The sequence below is a fragment of the Homo sapiens genome, chromosome 17, assembly GCF_000001405.40.
Source record: "Homo sapiens chromosome 17, GRCh38.p14 Primary Assembly".
NCBI lineage: Eukaryota > Metazoa > Chordata > Mammalia > Primates > Hominidae > Homo > Homo sapiens.
The window spans coordinates 36,767,960-36,788,863 of NC_000017.11; the positions used below are offsets into that span (position 1 = coordinate 36,767,960).

Here is a 20,904-nt window from a genome sequence, read left to right on the forward strand (position 1 = left end):
AGGAGAGGGGAAGCCTAACATGACTCGAATGCAGGGTGCTGCTTGTGGAGCCAGAAAATGCGTGCCAGCCCTGGATGTGAAGTCAAGTCCAGGGGCACAGGTGTGGAGAGGTGCCCCCTTAGGTTCCTCCTAAACCCTTAGGTGCCACCTGACCCAAGCCCCCATTTTACAGATGAAGGAACTGACACCTGGAAAGGGCCAGACATTTACCCAGAGCCGGGACCAGAATCCAGACTTCTGGGCTCGTAGCCCAGGGCTCTTTCCCCATCACCACGTGGTGGAATAAGGCCAGGACTCCACAGCCTCCTTTCTGTGCAATCTGGGTCCCCATGGCCATTTTGGTCATCCCCCAATGTCCCATTGGACAAAACTGGAGGTTAAGGCGAGTGGCTGTGGAATGAGCCGCTGTGGGAGGTGCAGCTTCCTGGCTTCCCCTTCCGGAGGTCTCAGGGTTCAGGGAAGCCACGGTGTGGTGGGCAGGGTGATGGGGACTGTAGCAGAGGATGCCCGCTGGGAGGCAGAAGAGCCCTGCCTGGGGGCAGGGGATGAGGGGTGTTGGTGAACGTCTGGGGTCCCCGCCCCAGGCCTGGGGTGAGACGACTCCTCCGTGCGGGCTGCAGGTGCCTGCTTTCCTCCTGCAGAGGTGGCCACCGAGGCTCCTGCTATAAATCATGAGCTAAGGGGCTGGAATCAGGGAGGAGGAGCTGGGCGGGGCGCTGTTGGGGAAATTTACAGTGGTGATTTTCTTCTCCAGACTGGGAGCTGAGGGAGCTGTAGTAACTCTGCCATGGCTCCTTGTCCGTATCACCCATGCCCCCCTCCGGAGGCTCCATTGACCTCACAGGAGCAGGGGTGAGGTTAGCACAGGGAGGATGCAGGAGAGACTTCAGCCAGAAGGTCCCAGACACTGGGATGGTCTGAGTATACAGAAATGGGTGAGTGCTGGAGGCAGCAATGTGCAGAGGCAGGGGTGAATGGGATAGACTATGGGGTACCACTTAGCCATTTAACAAATAGCAGGTGCCTTGCATGTGCCAGCTTTGCCTGTGCCAGGTGCTGCCAAGCATGACAGATGTGAGCCAAACCCTCTGGAGCCCAGGGGCAAGATGGACTTTAATGGAATAAACTGGAAACACATCCTCCCTGGGGATGGTGAGCCTCCTTGCTGATTCCTTATGGCCAGAGGGAATCTGGAGGAATCACTGCCCTCCAGTGTCTGGGCCAGGTCTGAGGCCCGGGAGCTGCCTTCCTGGCCCACGCTGACCTCCATTGAGGTCTTAATTACAGCTGCCTTTCCCATTCCGGCCTCTCATGGTGACATCTTCATACGGCTCTGGGACCATCGAGTTTCCTGATCTCTTCTCCTGGTCTCTTCCAACCCAGTCTCAGGGGTCCCAGCTTTCTCTAAGGTAAAGCCTGGCCCTGTCTGGACATGGAGAAAGCCCTATCCCCCTCTCCTCCCCGACTTCTCAGAATACCCAGGTTTCCAGGGCAAGGGCTCAGGAAAGATGCTACTGGAGCAACAGAGGTGAGGGGAGAAGGAAAAGGGGCAGAGGCACCTCTGTGGCACTCAGAGAATAATTTGAGATGCCGAACAAAGATTCCAGACCCAGAGGTAGCCTGGGGAGGAAGAAAGAGTGCCACAGACATCTGGAGGCCTGATTCGTGGCTTGGCAACCTATCAGCTAGCTGTGTAACCTTGGGCAAGTCACAGAGCCTCAGTTTCTTATCTGTAAAATGGGGTTAAAAACAGCCAACATTGTGGCCAGGTGCCGTGACTCAGGCCTGTAATCCCAGCACTTTGGGAGGCCAAGGCAGGAGGATTACTTGAGCTCAGGAGTTTGAGGCCAGCCTGGGCAACATCGTGAGACCCCTGTCTCTACAAAAAATGTAAAAAAGAATTAGCTGGATCTGGTGGTGCATGCCTATAGTCTCAGCTTCCAGGGAGGCTGAGGTAGGAGGATCACTTGATCCAGGGGTGTGGAGGCTGCAGAGAGCCGAGATTGTGCCATTGCATTCCAGCCTGGGTGACAGAGTGAGACCTTGTCTCTATAAAAAAGATAAAAAAGGCCAGGTGCGGTGGCTCATGCCTGTGATCCCAGCACTTTGGGAGGCCAAGGAAGGCGGATCGCTTAAGGTCAGGAGTTTGAGACCAGCCTGACCAACATGGTGAAACCCCTTCTCTACTGAAAATACAAAAATTTCCCGGTCATGGTAAAGCAAACCTGTAATCCCAGCTACTCTGGAGGCTGGATCGCTTGAACCTGGGAGGCGGAGGTTGCAGCCAGCCAAGATTGTGCCACTGCACTCCAGTCTGGATGACAGAGTGAGACTGTGTCTCAAAAAAGTTAAAAAAAAAATTAGCTGGGCATGATGGCACATGTCTATAGTCCCATCTACTTGGAAGGCTGAGACAGGAGGATCACTTGAGCCCAGGAGTTTGAGGCTGCAGTGAGCTGTGATTGTGCCACTGTACTCCAGCTGGATGACAGAGTGAGACCCTGTCTAAGAAACAAACAAACAAACAAAAAAACTCCCAACATTGCCTTCCATGAGAGTTAAATAGAATAGTTTGTAAATCAAAAGGTATACTTATGCAAGCAAAATAAGGGGACAAGATTAAATAACAATAATTAAACTTTATTAAGCAAGCACCTATTCTGAGCCAGACATCGCCTTACTGAAAGCTCACAGTAACCCAGCAGGCAGACATTGTTAGTCTCACATCTTATAAGCAAAGAAACCTTGGTGCAGAGAAGGTATGCAATTTGCCACTGTCTCACAAGTACTGACAGAGGGGGATGGAGGCTCAAACATCTGTCTTCAAAGCCTTAATCTCACCCAAGTCAAGCGGGTGGACTGGTGGTTGAGGTGTGGCCAAGGAGGGTAAGAACTAGAACTTTTGCCTCTCTTCCCTTCCCCTTCCCCTTCCCCTTCCCCTTCAACCTTCCCCTCCCTTCCCCTCCCTTTCCTTCCTCTTTCTCTCTCTTTCTTTTTTATTTGGCAGGGTCTTGATCTGTCACCCAGGTTGGAGTGCAGTGGCACAATCACAGCTCACTGTAACCTTGAATTCCTGGGCTCAAGTGATCATCTGGCTTCAGCCTCCCAAACTGCTGGGACTACAGGTGTGAGCCACTATGCCTGGCCAGAGCTTTTTTTCAGACATCTTCTATCTACTTTTACTAGGTAATGTTCTCACATAGTACAAAATTCAAAAGGTGCAAATGGGTCAGAGTGGAGAGTACATCTTGCTTCTTTTATTGTATAGCCTTCCAGAGAGAACTTATCTATGCCTAGTAGGCATATATGTGTTTATATATTTATATACATATTTAGATATTTAGATTGGTAGATGATAGATCATTTAAATTTTTTTTTGCAAAAACAGGTCCATACTAGCTGCACTTATTTCTAGGAAGCACTTTCCATCAGCCAGAGGTGAGCTCCCTGTGACAGGAGGCGTTTAGAGAGAGGTTGAGTAACTGCCTGGGGTGTTGCAGAAGGGAACCCACCATTGGAAGGGCTGGTCTGTGCTTCTAGCCGAGTGGTTCCTGAATCCTCTCTGTCGCTATGCTTTGCAGAGATAGAAATGAGGTGTGGGGAGGTAAAAAGGAAGTGACCTGTCCCACAGTGAATCTGCAGAAAAGCCAGTGAAGACCAGGTGGATGAAAATGAGGCTGGGGCCATGCCCATGGGGAGATGTTGGACGATGCTTGAGTGCAAGATGGCAGCAGGCCGGGAGAGGCCCAGAAGAGAACTCACCACGCCGTGGGGGTGAGTAGCGGGAGGGACAGCAGCATGTGCATCCCCCAAAGGCCTCCAGTTTGTTTGTAAAGTCTCAGGCAGGAATCTGCCCTTGTGATCCTGAGGCCTCATGTTTCAGGGCTCAAAGCTGGCCCTGGGGACAGGAGGTGGCAACTGGTGTCTGACCCCCTAAACCTGGTGCCTCCACTGATCAACAGACCAGATAAGGGACAGGTCACCCCCTGACCTTAGGGCCTTGAGGCCCAGGGCGGGGAGTGGGTGGTGGTGCTGCAGTTAGAGGATCCCATTCTCAGGACAGTAAACCCTCGAAAGAACTTCTCACCCACTATTTTCCAAGCTTTAGTCACTTGCATTCTGCTTTCATAATGTTGACCATTTCCAAGTTCCCTTGTATTTTTAAACTTAAAATAAAGTGCATGTATCTTAAATGTACAGTTTCATCAGTTTTCACTTGCGTATTCACCCGTGCAGTCGGCCCCATCACAATACGAAATATTTTCAGCACCCAGAAGCCTCCCTCATAGCCCCTCCCACTCAGTGCCCCCCAAAAGTAACCATAGATTAGTTTTATGTGTTTGAACTTCCGATAAATTGACTCAACCAGAAGGTCCTCTTCTTTGTCATGCTTCCCTCATTCAACATCATATCTGTGAGCTTCACCCATGTTGTTGGGCAAGGCGATAGTTTTTCCTCATTCATGCTGCCTAGTACTCAGTGGTATGAGTACACCACAATGTATTTATCCATTCTCCTGTTGGTAGACATTTGAATTATTTCTGGTTTGAGGCTATTAAAAACAGTGCCACTGTGGACAGTCCTGTTCATGTATTTTGGTGGACACATGACCACATTTCTGTTGGGCACACATTTTGATGAATGGTCCACAATTATAATATCACACAGAATAGTTTCACTGCCTTAAAAATCCCCTGTTCATCCCTCTCCCCACCTCTCCAAACCCCTAGCCGCTACTGATCTTTTTACTATCTCAATAGTTTTGCTTTTTGCAAAATGCCATATAATTGGAATATAGCATGTGGTCTTTTAGACTGGCTTCTTTCACTTAACAATATCATCTTAGTTTGCCTACCATGCCCTACCATGTCCTCTCTACCCTACCCTACATGTCCTCTCATAGCTTGGTAGCTCCTTTCTTTTTAACACCAAATAATATTCCATTGTGTGGACTTACAACAGTTTGTTTATCCATTCACCTATTGAAGGACATCTTGTCTAGCTCCAAGTTTTGGCAATTAAGAATAAAGCTGCTATAAACATTTGTGTGCAGTTTTTTTTGTGAGGACATAAGGTTTCAACTGAGTTGGGTAAATACCTAGGAGTGCAATTACTAGATCATATGGTGAGATTATGTTTCCCTTTGTAAGAAACTACCAAACTGTATTCCAAAGTGGCCATACCATTCCACATTCCCACCAGCAGTGAACAAGAGTTGTTGCTCTCCCTCCTTGCCGGCATTTAGTGTTGTTGGTATTTGGGGTTTTAGACATTCTAATAGCGGTGCGCCATCTCATTGTTGTTTTAATTTGCAGTTCCTTAATGACATGGGGTGTCAAGCATCTTTTCATATGCTTATTTGCCATCTGGATATCTTCTCTGAAGAGGTAACTGTTCAAATCTTTCGCCCACTTTTTAATTGGGTTGTTTGTTTTCTTATTGTTGAGTTTTAAGAGTTCATTGTACATTTTGGAAACAAGCCCTTTATCAGATAAGTGTTTTGCAAGCACTTTCTCCCAGTCTGTGGCTTGTCTGTTCATTCTCTTAAAATATACTGTATTCACGTTAAAATGAAACTTCATATCACAATGGTAATGGGGAAAGCAGAATACTTTGCCATGAAAGAAGGTAACCATAAAAATTTAAAAATAAAGTGCCCAATGTTTCAAGTTCTTCTCCTCTGACAAAAAAAAAAGCCCAGTGTTATTCCATCCTGGCTGAGTCCTGCCACCTGCTTCTGAGCTCTAAGCCTGAGGCTTAATGTCTATTGTTAAAAAAGAACTAACAAGTGGCGAAGAGGTATGCAAGCTGTACCAGCCTCAAACCAAGACCTTCTGCTAATCAAAATCAGAAAGCTTGAAAAATAATTTAAGGAGTAACTTTTTTTCCGTGTAAGCAATCTTATTGAATGCTGGTCAACGTAGCACCTGAAAGAAACTTTGGGAATCACTGATCTAGTCCACTCCCTCGCCCTTGCCTCTACCTCACTGCTAAAATCCTTTGATCTTTCACCCAGTGTGTGTGCACCTCCAGTGACCAGGAAATCACCCCTTTCCAAGACAGCCTGTCTCTCCAGAGGAAGTTCTAGTAGGAAGTTCTTTATTGCATCAAGCCAAGTTTCCCTGCATCCTCCCCTACTTGTCCTACCTCCCCACTTTGGGGAATCCCAGGGTCAAGGCTCATCTGTTTGTTCCAAAGAGTCATTAACCTTTTACAGCCTCAGTTTCTTCATCTAAAAAAATGGGGGATAATAATACCCACTTTCCAGGGAGATCTTTGTGATGAAACGAGATACAGCATGTAAGGTGCTCAGCCCCATGCCTGCTTCCCAGAGGGGTGAGAAAAAAGGAGGCCTTTTGTTGATTCAACTGTGAACTTGCCCACAGGAGGAAGTGGACATGGGTCTGCACCATTTTTTCTGGGTGATGTCTCAGCATTGTTGAGAGGGGCCAAGATTTGAAAGTCTAGGAAGGAACTGGGTCTATGTTCTGATGGACCCCTAGGGATAATCTGATCCAAGCTCTTCATTTCATAGCTTAAGAATCTGGAGGTTAGAGGGGCTGAGAGATGTGTCCAAAGTCACAGAGCAAAAAGCACAAAGGCAGAGCAGAGACCTGTGGGGCAGGCAGTGGTTTCTTAGGGCTGAAAGGAGCACCAGACCTGGAGTCCCGAGCCCTAGCTATGGGCCATGCAGCTATTAATATATAGATACCGTACTATGTGGCCTTGGGCAAGTATTTTTTCCTCTCTAGGCCTCAGTTTCTTCACTTATAAAATGAATCGTTGACCTAAATATGTTTTTTGTTTGTTTTATAGAGACAGAGTCTTGCTATGTTGCCCAGGCTGGTCTTGAACGCCTGGCCTTGAGCATTCCTCCTGCCTCTGCCTCCCAACGTGCTGGGATTACAAGCATGAGTCACTGCACCCAACTGACCTAAATGTTTTTGAGGCTGTTTCTGCTTCTGAAATTCTATGATCAAGGAGGTAGTTCTTGAGCTTGAGGAAAGTGTGGGACCAATTCATCCGAAGACAAAGGCATTCCAGGCAGAAGACACAGCACAAGCAAAGGCTGGGAAGTAACTGGATTAGACTGGGCATCTGGGCGATGAGACCCTAGGGCGTTTTAAGCGTACAGAAAAGTACTTAGCATGGTATCTGACTCAATAAATTCTCTTTCCCTGAGTAAAATTTCCCACTTCCACATCTCTACTTCATCCATTAAATGGAGGATAATGTTTGTGGTGGACTTGCTGAACCCAAGTATTGAAGTCATAGCCCAGCACAAGGCTGCCCAGCTAGGAACTAGATTTCCCAGCCCCAGACAGGAACAGACACTTTTCAAAAGAAGACATACACATAGCCAACAAGCATACAAAAAAATACTCAACATCACTAGTCATTAGAGAATTGCAAATCTAAACCACAATGAGATACCATCTCACACCAGTCAGATGGCTATTATTAAAAGTCAAAAAGTAAGAGATGCTGGCAAGGTTGTGGAGAAAAGGAAACAGTTATACACAGCTGGTGGGAATGTAAATTTAGTTCAGCCATTGTGGAAAGCAGTTTAGCGATTTCTCAAAGAAGTTAAAACAGAATTTCCATTCAACCCAGCAATCCCATTATGAAGTATACACCCAAAGGAAAATAAATCATTCTATCACAAAGACACATGCACACATATGTTTATTCTAACACTATTCACAATAGCAAAGACATGGAATCAACCTAAACGACCATCAACATTAGACTGGATAAAGAAAATATAGACCAGGCACAGTGGCTCACCTGTAATACCAGCACTTTGGAGGCCGAGGCGGGCAGATCACTTGAGGTCAAGAGTTCGAGACCAGCCTGACCAACATGACAAAACCCGTCTCTACTAAAAATACAGAAAAATTAGCTGGGTGTGGCAGCGGATGCCTGTAGTTCCAGCTACTCGGGAGGCTGAGGCATGAGAATTGCTTGAGCCCGGGAGGCAGAGGTTGCCGTGAGCCAAGATCACACCACTGCACTCCAGCCTGGTACATATACACCATGGAATACTACTCAGCCATAAAAAAGAAAGAGATCATGTCCTTTGCAGCAACATGGATGGAGCTGGAGGCCATTATCCTAAGTGAACTAACGCAGGAGCAGAAAACCAAATACTGCATGTTCTCACTTGTAAGAGGGAGCTAAACATTGCATAGATATGAACACAAAGAAGGGAACGACAGACACCGGGGCCTGCTGGAGGGTGGAGGTTGGGAAGAGGGAGAGGACTGAAAAACCCTCCATCAGGTACTATGTTTATTACCTGGGGATGAAATAATCTGTACACCACACTCACGTGACATGCAATTTACCTGGATAACAAACCTGCACATGTACTCCTGAACCTAAAAGTCAAAATTACATAAATAAATAAATGTTCCGGCCCCTTTATGGCTCAGGGTGGCCACATGACAAAGTCCTCACCAATGGAATGGGAGCAGAAGTGATGTGTTGCAACTTCCAGGCCTGGCTTTTAAGACACAACTCATGCGCACTTTTGATTCTTTCTGAAGACATGACGTGGGCAGGCCAGTGTGACCGTGTAGACAAGAGCATCACCAAGGGGTAATAGGGGAAACCTCATGGAGGGAGCCAGGCTCTTGTTTGGTTGTGTGGGGTGGAGCAGCCCTCCTACCCACCCTGTTACATGAGAACAAGGAAACCTTTCTGTTCTTTCAGCCAGTGGACGCTTTCTTACAGCAGCTCAGCCTTTTGCCATAACGAACACAATGTCTCTATGTGGGTAGGGGCAGAGGGGAAAATCAAGTGACTCCTCAATGTCGAGTTTTGAGGGTTTCTGAGGGCTAGCTTGCCGTTCCTCTCACAAGAAGCTCTGTCTTTCACCATTCTCCCTGGGTGATGGCTATCAGCCCATTAAAATGCATGGAAGGTCCCTATTTTAAAAAAAGGAAAAGGAAGGAAAGAAGGAAGAGAGGAAGGGAGGGAGAAAGGGAGAAAGGTAAGGGAAGGCAAGCATAAAGCCAAAGAAAGATCCCTAGGGTCACAGAGCTGTAGGAAGTCTTAGCGATGACCTTGTCCACCTCCAACCCTCCCAGTTACCTCCCCCATCCCCCCTTTTTTTGTATTTTTTTTTAGTAGAGATGGGGTTTCACCATGTTGGCCAGGCTGGTCTCGAACTCCTGACCTCAAGTGATCCACCCACCTTGGCCTCCCAAAGTGCTGGGATTGCAACCGTGAGCCGTCGTGCCTGGCCCTCACCCTGCCCTTTTTATAGAAGAGGAAAACAAGTCTCAGAGAGGTATTGTCATAACATAAACAAAATGTTTGGGGGTTGGGGAAACAAGAAGGTGAGGGCGTGTGTGCTGTTGTCCATGGTCCTGAAACTTCTCACACTACAAGTCATTATTTTTCTCTCTCTGGGACCTTGATGATTCCTGTTTGTTCTCTTCCAGGAATTCTGAATCAAGGAAGAGGAGAGGGGGTCGTGGGGCAGAAGAGAGGTCACTGACAGAGAGGGGCACAGGGGCAGAAGCTGTCCAGAGGCATAGCTGTGACAAGTTGTCAGGGAGAAGAAGAGAGACTTTTGTTTTGACATAGTTTTCAAACAATGGTGGTTGCCTGGAAAGAAACCAACCACTCTACAACTATAGCCTAAATACTAAATGACTGAGGAAGAATAAGAAACGTGTGTCTCAAATGATACAAAGCTGTGCATGTGTCAACATGAGCAAACTAATTCAGATGGGCACGTAGAACACAAATGGGAGGGGGGATGGGGTTGACTGTATTTATTCTTTGTTTTTCTTTTCTTGCCTGATGAAATATTTGTAATTTTTACACTGTCAGAAAGCAATCAAAACTGTGATTATGGTTCACAATTTTGACAGCTAGTTTCGTGTACTTTAAGTAGTTCTATTGTGTTTTAGACAATTTGAACAATTTGCTTTTCCCTTGAAAGTTGAGGAAAGACTGCACATGCCTTTAATTCCCACTAAACCTGTGTGGAGAGCAAACCATACAGCTGGCATTTGTTGAACTCTGCTCTAAGCAAGCATGTTGTGCTTAAGAACTCATTTATTCCCCATAACAAACCCAGGTAGATAGGTAGATAGGTGCCATCATAGTAGATGAGGAAATGGCGTGTCAAAGTAGTAGATACCTGGTCCAAGGCAGCCTGGCTCCACATCCTGTATTTTCAGCCCCTGGCTAGTCCAATTCTTGGTATCTTACTGGGCCACAGCAGAACCAGACATAGGCTTCCTGGTTCCCAGGGTAGACCCTTTCCTTCCTACCATCTTCATGCAGTACATCTCAGAACTGGGGTGTGTTTACCAAAGGGGTATGTAGTGCTAAGGAGTTGCACAGATCTGCACAGACTGAGGCACAGGACTGGTCTTAGAGGGAAAACCACAGGGAGGAAAGAGTGGGTTTCTCCTGAGACCTGAGCTCCAGCCCCACTTCATGGCCCAGAGAGCTCCGGCCAGGGAGGAATATCCAATTTCCAGGCATGGTTGAAACCGGAGCTGGGTGCCCCCACCAGCTTGCCTCCTGTGTTCCTCCTCCATGTGTGCTGAAGTGGAATAGGCGGAGGGCACAAGGGGAAGCATTGTTCCTGCCCCCACCTTGTGCAACCCAGCTCTCAGTGGAGCGTGGAGGAATTTGTGTAACTTTCCTGGAGGTTAAGAGCAGGTCAGTGCAGGGCTGCAGCCCAGGCTACTCTCCCAGCAAAGGGAGCCTCGGGCTAAGCCAGGCGGCCCCGTGGGAACAGAAGCACATACCTGCTGTCCATGCCCTGAAACGGGAGGGCAGCCTGAGCTGCTGGGCGTGAAGATGCAGATCCCAAATCCCCCAGCTGCCCTCCTCCAGCACAGGGGCAGATCACAGAAGCCTGAACTGACAAGGAACCTGGAAACAGGCAACCAAATTCCCACATCTGCCAGGTGGGCACACTCAGGCTCAGAGAAGAAAGAGGAGCTTTCATGAATCATGTACCTTCCTGAGTGCCATTCATTCATTCATTCATTCACTCATCATTCATTCATTCATTTAGCAAACACTTGTGGTGGAATGTCAAGGGCAGACACTATCACTATCCTAGAAGGTTCGATGTATTTCTTATTCTGGTTGGCATTCGGGAGAGACAATAGAGACTCAAAGAGGGCATGAGATCTTTCCAAGGTCACACAGCTGGTTTGAGGCAGGTCTGCTAAGTGTCAGCCTAAGCCTCTTTCCCCTGCACCAAACATGCAAGCATGTATATATGGTGTATGGAAAGTCAGACGGAAAAGTGGGTCCTAAGTCATTGGATCAACTCTCTTGTCTCCTGGCAAATGATATGACAGAGTCAATTCCACTCAACAATTGATTTGGTGTCTACTCTGGGCAAAATACTTAATTGATTCTCTTCTTCTGGGAAGATTTCCAGGAACCAACTAGGCTCCTGCATTGGGAAGTTAGTCCTGATCAAATCTTTCCTCCTTTAATTTAAGCCATTTTCCCATTTGTCATACACAGGATGTGAAGATAGCTTGTGTTTCAAGCAAAGTTCTTCATCATCACAGGAAGGCAAAAGGTTGGAATGGACCATGAATGTGGCAGGTGTTTTCACACTCTGGCACCTATAAAGAGTCAGAGCCCAACAGAGATTGGTGGGATGAATGAATGTACACAAAATTCAACATTTAAATGGCACTCCAAAGGTTTACAGAAGATGTTCATGTACACTCTTTCAGTCCACAAAGCAATCCTGGAAGGCAGGCACTTTATCCCCATGTCACAGATGGGAAAACTGAGGCTCAGAAAGCATAAATAGGTTGCTGAGGGTCACAGAGCTCATGGGCAGCCATGTTGAGATCCATACCTAGACCTCCTAACTCCTAGTCCAGCGCTGCTTCTGTGACGCCACATGGCTGAGGTACATGTATGTGGTTCTAGTGGGCAGTATTAATATAATGACAGTGGCAGCTGTGTTTCTCTGGCCTTTCTGCAGGGAGGGAAATGCTCAGCTGGTCTGAAAGCCATTTCTTCCTACCCTTGAGTGGGGGGTGGAAGTAGAGGAGGGACATCTATCTGGCCAGATGTGTTGGGAGGGAGGGTGAGTCCATGGCTTGGGTTAATGATCCTTGCCACCCACATCACTGGGTGGTGGGAACAGGTGGCCAAGACTGAGCTGACCAGTGGGACTAGGCTGAGCTAGGAGGCACCAGCTGCTGTCCAGATAAAGATGACCTTTCTTAGCCACAGCTCCCCCAGGGAGAGAGATATGGAGTATCTCATCCATGGTCTCCACCTTAGTGCAGACCCCTATCAGTGCTCAACCAGACCATTACAACTGCCTCGCAAACTGCCTCTGTACCTAACTTCATCCAGTCCCATGCCAGCTTCACACTGCTGGCAGAGCTGTGTTTATATGGCACAAATGTGTTGGTGTCACTTATCTTCAGAGAAGCCTTCAATCCTCTCCCCGCTGGTACACAGCCTAAACTCCCAAGCAGGCGCTCACTATTTGTCCCCAACCTACCCTCCTAAATCTGACCACAAAACTCCCCTTCAAGCCCCCATACCTCAAAGACGTTTCCCACCTCGACTCCATTGTTCTTGCTGTTGCCTTTGCCTGGGATGGTCAGGTACAGTGACTTGTGCCTGTAATCCCAGCATTTTGAAGGCTGAGGTGGGAGGATCACATGAGGCCAGGAGTTCGAGACCAGCCTGAGAAACAGAGCAAGGCCTTGTCTCTATTTTAAAAAATGAAATATTGCCGCTGGGCATGGTGGCTCACACCTGTAATCCCAGCGCTTTGGGAGGCCAAGGTGGGCAGATCACCTGAGGTCAGGAGTTTGAGACCAGCCTGGCCAACATGGCAAAACCCTGTCTCTACTAATAATATGATAATTAGCTAGGCGTGGTGGCATGCACTTGTAATCCCAGCTACTCAGGAGGCTGAGGCAGGAGAATCACTTGAACCCGGGAGACAGAGATTTCAGTGAGCCGAGATCGTGCCATTGCACTGCAGCCTGGGCAACAAGAGTGAAAATGAAACTCCATCTCAGGGGTCGGGGGAGAAGATTGCCCTTGCCTGGGATGCCTACCTCACACCCTGTTGGTCTCTGACACTGATCCCTCCTTCGTCTCAACTTGCAACTCAGTTTTCCTCTTGTGACATTTGCCCCCTTCTTACCTTGTGTTTCTGTGCCTTTTATCTCCTGCCCTAGACCAGGAGCTCCTTGAGTATCTCATTTAGTTCCCCCTGCCCCCCTGCATGGCACTTACTCATGGAAGGGGCTTAGGAGCATACAGTGGGCATGGGAAGGGGCTGGGAAGAGGGAAGGCAGGAGGGGGCATGCTCTCAGTCCAGGATCCAGAGCCAAGCTGAGCTGAATTCAAATCCTGACTCCACCACTCATTAGCCGTGTGACTTTGGGCAAGTTGCTTTAACATCTGTGCCTCAGTTTCCTCATCTGTCAAATAGGGATAATCATTTGCTTCATGGGACTCTTTGAGGATTAAATGAGGTAACAGATTAAAACATTCAGCGCAAAGTCTGGCACATAGTATGTATTCAATAAATGTTAGATATTATTTATAATTTAGTTACATAAATGGGCTAGATGAGATTTCATTGTCATGAGAATTTCAAATGGAGAGTGAGAACTAACATTTATTTCTTATTTTATTTTTTTGAAACCAGGTCTCACCTGTCACCCAGGCTGAAGTACAGTGGTGCAATCACAGCTCACTGCAGCCTCTAATTCCTGGGCTCAAGCAATCCTCCTGTCTCAGCCTCCCGAGCAGCTGGGACTACAGGCATGTGCCACCATAGCCGGCTAGTTAAAACATTTTTTTTTTTTTTTGTAGAGACAGAGGTCTTGCTATGTTGCCCAGGCTGTTCACAAACTCCTGGCGTCAAGCCATCCACCTGTCTTTGCCTCCCAAAGCACTGAGTTTACAGAAGTGAGCCACCATGCCTGGCTCCATGAAGAACTAACATTTATTGAGCACCCGCTCTGTTCCAGGCAGGGCGCTCAGCATCTCCATGTGCTTCTCCTTATTCAGTCCTCACAAGGATGCCAGGAGGTAGGCATCATTCCCATTTTTCATCTGAAGAATCTGAGGCCCAGGGAGGTTTGCGTGGTGGGCCTTTGGACACAGATGGGAAATGGTGGGACTGAGGGTCAACCCAGATCTGTGTGACTCCATCTCTGTGCTCTCTTTCCATTCAACCTGACCGACTCAGGAATTCAGAGGGAGATCCCTAGGAAGTGGTCCCTAGAAGGAGGCACACCTCCATCTCCTCACAGGCCAGCTCCCCTACCCAGTCCCTCACAAGGCCCAGCTCTCCAGGGAGTAGGGGCGCTGGTGCTGAAGTTGAGGGGGGATTACCGGTGTTGGGGGCCTTTCCCGACTTCCCATGGATCCTCTCCTCTTCCTCTCCTGCAGCAGCTGAGCCAGGGCTGTCTCTTGGGTTCAGTCCGGTTGGCTCCAGGCCAATTCCAGGTGTCACATCAGGCCTTGGCTTTCAGAAGGCTGCAGGGGGTTCCTCCAGGAAGGGCAGTGTGCTTCCTCCAGGGTCCACCATGGAGGTGCCGCTGTGCCACTTGGGAAAGCAGGAGCTCCGGGGAGCCTAACCCACCGATTCTGGGATCCTGGCCTTGGCACCCCTCAGCTGGTCTCAGGCAAGATACTTCAGGGCAAAGGGACTCAGTTTCCCCACATGCAAAAGGGGAATAATCTCTATTCCCCAGCTTGCCATGAGCATTAGTTAAGATTGCGGACTTAAAGCTCCAGGCCTGGTGCTTACTAGATGCTCAGTAAACACTAGTTTCCTGCTTCCTCCACATCCTCCCCCTCTCCCTTGGGACTGTCCTTTGAGGGCCTTCTCTTATGTTTTTCAGGAGATCTGCTTGAAAATGTCCACCTACTCCACCCAGGACAGCAGAAACTACTCGGGGAGGCTGTACTGGGCCCCTTCTTCCAGCTGAGGTCCTGGTCACTTTAGTCTCTCCCTCTAGGTGTGGGGTGGAGGGAGGACTTTGCCCTGCCTCCAGCCCTGGGGCCTTGTTCCTTCTGACTTGATACTATAGCTGCTGGGATCAGAGGTGACTGGGAGACTGGTTTGGTCAAGAAGGAGGGTAAAGAGTAGTGCCTAGCCTGCCTAGACCACTTTCCCATCCCCAGAGGGTGCCATTTAACTCCCGCTGCAGGTGCCATGAGCCCCGGACCCTGCACTGGCTTGGGGAGAGGGTGCACTGGGCCCCAATTTTTCTTATCTCTTGGCCAAATTCCAGGCATTCCCACTGTGAATCCCAGGAACTGAACTTATCCTTGCCTCTCTCGGGTCCAGGGATTAGCATCCCCTCTCCCGACCCCTGATGATACACCTCAGGGAGGCCTGGTCCGGACCTAGTCAGCTGCTTCATCAGCTCTGTGCTCTGGAGCTCCTGTAAGGGTGACATGCTTCTCCATGCTTTACAGATGGATAACCTGAAGCACAGAGACATCAAACAGGCCACACAGCTAGAAGTGCCAGGACCAGAGCCCAAGTTTATCCAGCTCCAAGGCACATGGTCTTTCTCCCATACCCACTTACCTCCCTGCCTCCTAGTCTGAAGCGGAAACACTCAACAAAGAAAGCTCCCTCACCACCTAATTGATGTGGCATTGGAAACAGCCTTGTTCTTCCTCACTTAGAATAGACTCCCTTTGCTCCATTCCAGAGAGGGGAGAAGAAGCAATGAACTGCCTGGGGGAGGCAGTTCTGCAGAAAGAATCTGAAGGCCACTGTGGAAGGAATTGGCCACGGAAGCTGCATGATGACAACAGTGCTGGGCTTGTCCTGACCTGGCCTCACTCCGGCCAATTTTTCCTAATCAACATGGCCCTGGGGAGGGAGCAGCCTGCCTGGAATAGGAATGAAGAAAGACAGATTAGGGGTCACTCTCCTGGCTTTAACTTGCATGGGCTTGCTGGGTTCCTTTAGATCCCTGCATGAACCATTCAATGCAAACCATACATGTCTGTTAGGACTCTTGGTTGCAAGTGACAGAAAACCTTCCTCAGCTTCAGAAAGCGGGGAGGGTTTATTGATTCTCATAATGGAATAGTTCAGGGGTAGGTCTGGCTTCGGGTAAAGTTTGATACAGGGCCCAAATGACATCACCAGAATCCATCTCTCAGCTCAGTTGCTTGTGTTTATCTCTATTCTTCAGCTCTGTGGCTGGCAGAAATAGCTGTGCCACACTAAGATACATACTCGCCTACTCCAGTGGAAAAGAGGGAATTTCCCTTCCCAGAAGCCCCAGCATTTCACTGGCTGTGATTGGTTTATATGCTCTGGAGCTCTCACTATGACTGGAGGTCATGAAGATTGAATAAACTTGGAGGACATGAAGATTGAATAAACCCAGAACCCATCCCTGGGGCTCTGGGTGGTATAATCCCACCAGATCACCTAGGGAATGGAGAAGGAGTAGTTTCCCAAACGGAATTTGGGCTTCAGTTTTTAGTAGAGGGGGCAGTGAGTGCTGGGCGATCAACAACAATATCCCTCCCACCCCAACAAGGAGAGCCCCAGTCCCCATTTAAATAGCCCAGCTCTGGCTCCGACTCACCCTCTCTGCCCCTCTCCTTTCATCTCATCCCATCCTGCTCCTGAACTTGCAGCTTGGGCTCCATCATAGGACAGGGTCCCTAGAAACAGAGTCTGAGACAAGGATTAGGGCACATGTGATTAATCAGGGGTGTGGTCCCAGGAGAAAGGGTATGAAAGAAGCAGAATTAGGCAAGGGCAGAGAGGAGCGAGGATGCAGCCTCAGCCAGATTCAGCCTGATATCACAGGGCACTCTGGAGCATCAGCTGTGCCAGAGAGTTGGTCCCTCCTTGAGGCAAGGGGGCCAGCCTTTTGCACTCTCCTCCCCTCATGTCAATCAGTCATTGGTTATGGGCTTCCCAGGAATGTGTAACCTTTCAGGGTAGGCAGCTTCCATTCAGCCAGTGCAATTCTCCAGAGATGGGGGCAGCTGAGAGCCATTACAGCTAACATGCCCAGCAGCAAGGAGGGTTTGGGCAGAATGTCAGCTACAGGCTCCTTGCCTTGCCCTTCAGATTGAATACTCAGTTCCGTTGTTTCCTTGGCAATGGCCTGACTCCCTCCATGATCCCAGGGCTAAATCACCTTTATATCCCTCTGACTGCTTAGCAATGCCTCTCCAAGCTTGGGGGACCCTAAGGGCCTCCTACCCCTAGCACTGCTCCCAAGGGTACCCCTGCTCCCACAGGGCCCCTAGAGCAGGAGCCAACCAGAGAGAGCTGCCTTGCACCGGGATGGAGCCTGGGGCTGTCTTGGACAATGGCAGAGTCCCTGGCCTCCTGGTTTCCTCTGCCTCACTCCTCCCCAGTTCTGACTTTTGTCTGCTACTTTGGCATTCAGCTTCCTGGGCATCTGCCTCCTTCTGGTGTACATATTGGAGCCTCTTCTCAGAATGGTCAATTCTGTTGGCCTTTCCAGTTCCCCCACCCTGGATTCTTCTCTAGACAGCTGATGCCCTTTGACAAGAATGGTTTAAGTTAAGTCTCTTGCCAGGTGCCAACTGCTTTTGAAGGCTTAGATTCTGTCTTGTTTGAGGGCTTTGCTTATTAGTTTAAGAGTGCCGGGCTGGGCGTGGTAGCTCACGCCTGTAATCCCAGCACTTTGGGAGGCCAAGGCGGGTGGATCATGAGGTCAGGAGTTCAAGACCAGCCTGGGCAACATGGTGAAACACTGTCTCTACTAAAAATGCAAAAATTAGCTGGGTGTGGTGGTGCATGCCTATAGTCCCAGCTACTCAGGAGGCTGAGGCAGGAGAATCGCTTGAACCTGGGAGGTGGAGGTTGCAGTGAGCCAAGATCACGCCACTGCACTCTAGCCTGGGCAACAGAGAAAAATGTCATCTCAAAAAAGAAAAAAAAAAAAAAAAGAGTGCCTCCCCCATACAAACTTATAGGACAAAAAATGTTTCTAAGACATATGAGCAACAAAAGTTAACATTCTAATATACAAAAAGTTTTTATGAATCAACAATAAAATATATGAACACTGCAGCAACAAAATTGGTCAAAGGACATGAACAGGCAATATTACACAAGAAGAAATGGATATGAGAAGGTACTTGACCTCACTAGTAATCAAATAAATTCAAATTAAAGCAGCAATGAGGAATCATTTGTTCACTTTTCCCATTGGCAAATATTTCATGTTACTGAGGATGAGGAGAAATGGCCAGTCTTGTGCTTTGATGGTGGGGCAACAGCAGTGTAAAGAAGTACACTTGGCCGGGCGCGGTGGCTCACGCCTGTAATCCCAGCACTTTGGGAGGCCGAGGCGGGCGGATCACGAGGTCAGGAGATCGAGACCATCCCGGCTAAAACGGTGAAACCCCGTCTCTACTAAAAATACAAAAAATTAGCCGGGCGTAGTGGCGGGTGCCTGTAGTCCCAGCTACTTGGGAGGCTGAGGCAGGAGAATGGCGTGAACCCGGGAGGCGGAGCTTGCAGTGAGCCGAGATCCCGCCACTGCACTCCAGCCTGGGCGACAGAGCGAGACTCCGTCTCAAAAAAAAAAAAAAAAAAAAAAAAAAAAAAAGAAGTACACTTCTGGGCCGGGCACAGTGAATCACACCTGTAATCCCAATACTTTAGGAGGCAGAGGTGGGAGGATCATTTGAGCCCAGGAGTTTGAGACCAGCCTGGGCAACACAGTGAGACCCCATCTCTACAAAACATTTAAAAGTTAACCAGGCATGGTAGTACATGCCTGTAATTCCAGCTACTCAGGAGGCTGTTGTGGGAGGATCACTTTAGCCCAGGAGGCTGAGGCTTCAGTGAGCCATGATTACACCACTGTATTCCAGCCTGAGCAACAGAGTGAGACCCTGTCTCAAAAAGAAAGAAAAGAGAGAGGAGGGGAGGAAGGAACGAAAGAAGGAAGGAAGGAAGGAAAGAAGGAAGGAAGGAAGGGAGGGAGGGAAGAAGGAAGGAAGGAAGGGAGGGAAGAAAGAAAAGAAGGAAAGAAAAAAAGAAGAAAGGAAAGAAAAATAGAAGAAAGAGCAAGAAAGAAGAAAGAAGAAAGAAAGGAAAGAGAAAGAAAGAAGAAAGGAAGGATGGAAGGAAGGAAGAAAGGAAGGAAGGAAAAGAACGAAGGGAAAGCAAAGGAAGGAAAGAAGGACATTTCTGGAAGGCAATGTGGAAACCCTTGGCAAGCCTGGAAAATGTGTATAACCTTAGAATCTACAATTCAACTTCTTGGAATTTATCCTAGGGAAACACTGAAAGATGTGCCCAAGGGTATATGTGCAATGATGTTTATCTCAGTACTATTTATAATAGCAAAAAAATGGAAATGACTTAATAACCCATAAATAGAGAACTGGTTGAATCAATTATGCTTCACTCATATAATGAAATCATATGCAGCCATTAAAAATGATGCCTGGGCCATAGTGGCTCACACCTGTAATCCCAGAGCTTTGGGAAGCTGAAGCAGGAGGATCATTTGAGGCCAGGAGTTCAAGACCAGCTTGGGCAATATGGTGAGACCCTGTATCTGCAAAAAATAAAAATAGAAAAATTAGCCAGGTGTAGTGGTACATGCCTGGAGTCCCAGCTCCTCAGGAGGCTAAGGTGGGAGGATCGTTTGAGCCCAGGAGTTTGAGGCTGCAGTGAGCTATGATTGCACCACTGCACTCCAGCCTGGGCAATAGAGCAAGACCCTGTCTCAAAAAAACAAACAAAAAAGACGTATGTATCCGTTGACATCAACAGAGCCCCATAATCCATTAAATTTTAAAAAGGTTATAAAAGATCATGTAGAGTATGCTTCATTTGTGTTGAATTGTATACCTAAGTGGGTACTCCCAGGAAGGAGTCTGGAAGAGTAGTCTCCAAAATTTCTAGGTGGTAGGAAGTGGATTCTGTGGTTTGTGCCTTCTATAGGTAACCAGTGCCCAGTGACCATCTGGGTGTGCCCCGTGGTCCCAGTTCTCATTCTGATGGAGCCGACTTGCCCTGGGATTGGGATGACTGACTGTGCCCTTGGATACGCTCAAGGGGATGGACCAGGGGACATCAGCATGGATTATTCTAGAGATCCTGAGAAAGACTGTTGCATAGCAAAGCTCTCTAAAACGTACATGGTGTAAAACAATAACCATTTTATAACCAATTCTGTTGTCAGGAATTTGGAGAAGGCACAACTGGAATGCCTTATCTCTGCCCCATGATATCCAGGGCCTCAGCTGGGAAGTTACAACTTCCAGCTACAGATGACTTGACCAGGAATCAGCTGGAGAGCTCTTCAGACCTGGAGTCACTGGAAGGCTGGGCTTAGCTGGAGCTGTCAACTGGAGCACCTACACGCGGGCTGAATGTAGCTTGGACTTCTGACAGCTTGTCATCCGGTTCCCAGGGGTGGCGTCTTTAAGAGGGAAGACTCTGGAGGGTATTTTAAGAGGCCAAAGCAAAAGGGGCAAGGCTTCTGACTTAGCCTCAGAAACCATGTCAGCACCACTTTGCCACATTCTCTTGGTTGCAAATGAGTCACTAAAGCCAGCTCAGATGCAAGAGGAGGGGAATTAGACCCCACCTCTTGATGGGGAAGTTACAAGGTCACATTGCAGAAGAGCATGTAAGATGGAGATAGCATGTGGCCTTCTACAGAAAAGACAATCTGTCATAGACAGTTTTTTTTCCCTGCTGGACCCAAAGCTTCGAGATGTGAGATTTGGAACAGCTGTAGCTGCCCTGGAATCACGAAGGGGAAGCCTGCCTATAAAACCAGCATGGAGGAGAGCCAAGGGATGCCAGAGAGTGAGAGCGAGACAGTGTGAGAGAGAGAGCAGATCCAGAGGGCATCATTTGAGCCTGACCATGCTTCT

General features: G+C 48.3%; 1 long non-coding RNA gene across 1 annotated transcript in view; it reads left to right on the top strand.

The window, feature by feature from the left end:
- The window catches only part of LOC105371750 (uncharacterized), a 115,553-nt gene extending 110,066 nt beyond the window's left edge, over positions 1-5,487 (top strand). Inside the window, exons 7-8 of the long non-coding RNA XR_007065730.1 lie at positions 3,582-3,774; positions 5,316-5,487. This is a non-coding gene — a long non-coding RNA (uncharacterized LOC105371750). The remainder of the gene's footprint in view (positions 1-3,581; positions 3,775-5,315) is intronic.
- The last annotated feature ends 15,417 nt before the right edge of the window (positions 5,488-20,904 follow it).